General features: G+C 39.1%; 1 pseudogene; it reads right to left on the bottom strand.

The window, feature by feature from the left end:
• Nucleotides 605–1,220, bottom strand: RPL29P18 (ribosomal protein L29 pseudogene 18; annotated as a pseudogene).

Raw genomic sequence — 3,675 nt, 5'->3', positions numbered from 1 at the left:
TCCAGTGTAAATCCTGTTGGAATCTTTTATGGAACATGACAAAGTGATTCTAAAATTGATTTGGAAAGCATAAAGGACTAAAACAGGTAAGATATTCTCTAAGGAAAAGTGGGGTAAAAACTCGCATAGCAGGATAAGAAACATGTATTGAAGGCAGAATATTAAAACAGTGCAGTACTGGTGGAAATATATGAATGGAATAGTAGAATAGAGAGGTGGAAAATGGAACCAAGCTCATAAGAGATTATCTTCTTCAAATCTGTGCAGAAAGAGTGGATTTTCTCCATATATGGCATTGAGAAAAATGGCTTTCCAAAAATAAAAGTAGAAAGTCTCACACAGTGTCTTAGCTTGGCAGACCCTGAGATGAAGACTTGGGTGCAAGCAGTTTACTTGGAGGCAATCTTTGGTGGCTCAAGTGAGGAAGCGGGAGAAAGTGAGAAGAGTAAAGTTAACAAAAGGTGTGTTAATGAACAGATTGCTGTTAATGAAAATTGGAGCTTAATCCTCACTGTGAATTTGGAGAAAACATGTGGCATATACTCCTTAAGATTGTCCCCCAGAAGATGGGAAACTAACATTTATCTATGGATTCCATTTTTTTTCCCTCCTCAGTTTTATTTGTACAAATAGCATAGGAGGACACCAGCCCTATGCAGACGGCAGCCCAAGGGGGTCACACCAGTCCTTCTGTCCTCACGTTGGCAGACAGAGATCTCTACTCTGAAGCTTTTATAGGGGACTGGGCACCTTTGGGAGCCTGAGCTGGAACTGTAGCTGGAGCTGCAGCCTGGGCCTTGGTTTGATCCTTGGCCTTTGGCTGGCACAGACTGAGCCCCTTGGCAATGTGGGCATAAGCATGCTTCCCAAGCTTGGGGTGGGCAATATAGGCAAGTCAATCGAACTTGCAGCTGACACTCTTTGGGATCTTGGGCTTAACCTCCTTGGGCTTTACAAGGGCCTTGATAGCCTTGGCAAGTGCACTCATGGCCTTGGCATTGTTGGCCTGCATCTTCTTTAGGCCCTTCTTGGTGTGCTTCTTGGCAAAGCACATGATTCTCAGGAACTTGGGGTCCACCTCCTTAAGAGATTCGTATCTTTGTGGTCAGGGTTTCTTGATGCCATTTCTGGGCCATTTTCGAGACTGATTGTGTGTGGTGTGATTCTTGGACTTGGCCATGTCTGCACCTTAAGCCGTGGCTCCTGAAATGCCTAGAACCACTATAGATCTCATTTTTGAAGGTTGCCCCAGGGCATCAACTCCCCCAACACCTGTCCAGGATCTTGATACCTGTCTTGTGTCAGAGAAGCCTCCCATGCACAGAAGAGAGATGCAAATACTTTTAAGGGGATAGTCAGCTTGCAGAAATTCTCTTAAGCTGCAGGAGAGCTTAGGTAGGTGTAGACAATGTCAGCAGCATCTGCGACACACACTATAAACAAATAAAACAAAAATGAAGTCTAAATGTATAAAAAGATCTTAATGTGAAAAATATAACTAAAACTATTAGGAGAAAATATTGAGCACGGTGCAGTGGCTCATATCTGTAATTCTAGCACTTTGGGAGGCCAAGGCAGGAGACTTGCTTGAGGCCAGGAGTTTGAGACCAGCCTGGGCAATGTAGCAAGACCCTGTCTCTACAAAAACAAAAATTAGCCTGACGTGGTGGAAGCATGCCTATAGTCCCAGCTACTGGGAATACATGATATTAATCAATTCAGATCTCAAATGCATAAGATCTCATTAAAAAAAGCAAACAGCACAGTATTATGTGTGGTATAATACAAATTATGTAAATTTAAAAATACGTACAAAACAAAAATATTGTTGATGAATATATCTGTAGTGTTTTATTAATATTTTCTAAAGATGTGCTGAATCAAAGATGACTAAATGTCAATATTTTTTCATTTTGGAATGGCATGTACATAGGTGTTATAAAGTATCCTTTACATCTGTTTTGGGTGAACAGAGTTTGGTTTAGGATCTCTTCTCTTTTTTGAGGGTAGGATTGCCTTCCAAGTTTAAAGTAAAGGAAAAAAGCAGGGTAACAGAATAGGACAGAATCCTATTCTAAGGAACAAGAGTAGAAAAAAATGTGTACAAGGCAAACAAGTGGACAACGGAAAGGACAACTGGTTAGGCAGACAAAAACCAGTGGACCTGGACTAAGATACAAGTGTTACAGAGCCATTTTCAGACAATTTCTGCTACAATTACAACTCTCTTATAATTAATATCATTTTATCACTTATCAGTTTATCTCAATCCATCAAAACATCACACAGTGGAATGCTCTGGGTGCTTAGTTTCTAGGAATTGACTTTGAGATCTTGAACAGAAGACACAACAATGAAAATTGAATGCAATTATAAACTGGTTAGTGGTTAACCACATGGGTTCTGTAGTCCCAGAGCCTGCAGAATGAATCCAGCTTTGCCACTTCACATGGCTGAGCAGTTTTGAGATGGCTCTTGCTCTTTCTATGCCTTTGCTTCATCATGTAATAATAATGCTAGTATTGGAGCTCATCATTATAATATTATTCTATAGGGATAATAATATTTTCCTCTTTATAGTATTGTGAAAATTAAATTTGATTATGCTTTTAAAGCTTCTAACACTGTGACTTACTCAAAGGTAATAGCTCAATAATGGCAACTATTGTCATTATTTCACTGCATTTAGTGAAACCATTGCCCTTTCCTACACTATAGCATGTTTGATTTTCATGTAGTCTGAGAACATGACCAATATTAAGCAGGCGATGGTGTTGGAAATGGTTTCTGGTCATCCAAACATGCCATTGATTTGTGTGTGCTCACTTGTGTACATGTGTGACTGCTGGATTGAATTGCCTGACCAACACTCCTATTCCTAAGAATTTTTTCCTCATCATCACAAATGTGCAATTAATCCACAAGATTGCAGAAGGAGCAGCCAAGTATAAACAGATGACTCCACCCATGGCCATAGCTGAATGGCTGATAAAGCAGAGTGTGGAAAGAAGAGAAGAAAGAAGCAGACACTAAGACAACAGAGAGAGAACCAGAATTGATGACTTTTGAGTCCCTGACCTCGATTCATTTATTAGGTTCAGCTACATTCTTAGATTTGAGTTCTATGTGAGATCCCAAATTCTCTGTATTAATTCATGTTTTTGCCAAAACAATTTTGAGTTGGGTTTCTGTTACATACCACCCAGAGTTTTGGCTAATATAATGTGAATGCAACACTGACAATAGAGCTACTTTTCTACTTGCCTATGGCTGGAAAGTAATAAAGAGACTTGGCTCCCCACCCAGGAAAAGAGATTGATAAAACTATAGAACTTGCAAAGTTTTATTGTTTGTCCAGCTCATCAGTTTAAAAATAATCACCACAAATTGGAAGAATTGAGAGCTTTAGGAGAATATTCAGAAAATAAACAAATGAGTGAGTGAGGTATGTGTCTGTTGATCTTCACTTCACCCAATTCTGTTTATTTAGACATCATAAAAGCACTTATATAATCAGACAGAGTTCTTCTAGATTGAAAAAAAAAGGTAACAGAGAAATGACATGACTTGGCCTAAATGCAGTTAAATAATACAAGGAGACAGAATGCAAATGAATATATTTTGTGTGTGGAATAGATATGCTGCTAATTGCGTTCACTTATTATCACAGAAATG

Source organism: Homo sapiens, chromosome 8 (genome assembly GCF_000001405.40).
Source record: "Homo sapiens chromosome 8, GRCh38.p14 Primary Assembly".
In the NCBI taxonomy this organism is placed as follows: Eukaryota; Metazoa; Chordata; class Mammalia; order Primates; family Hominidae; genus Homo; species Homo sapiens.
The sequence above is the reverse complement of the archived record's forward strand: the minus strand, read 5'-3'. Positions and strand labels throughout refer to the sequence as shown.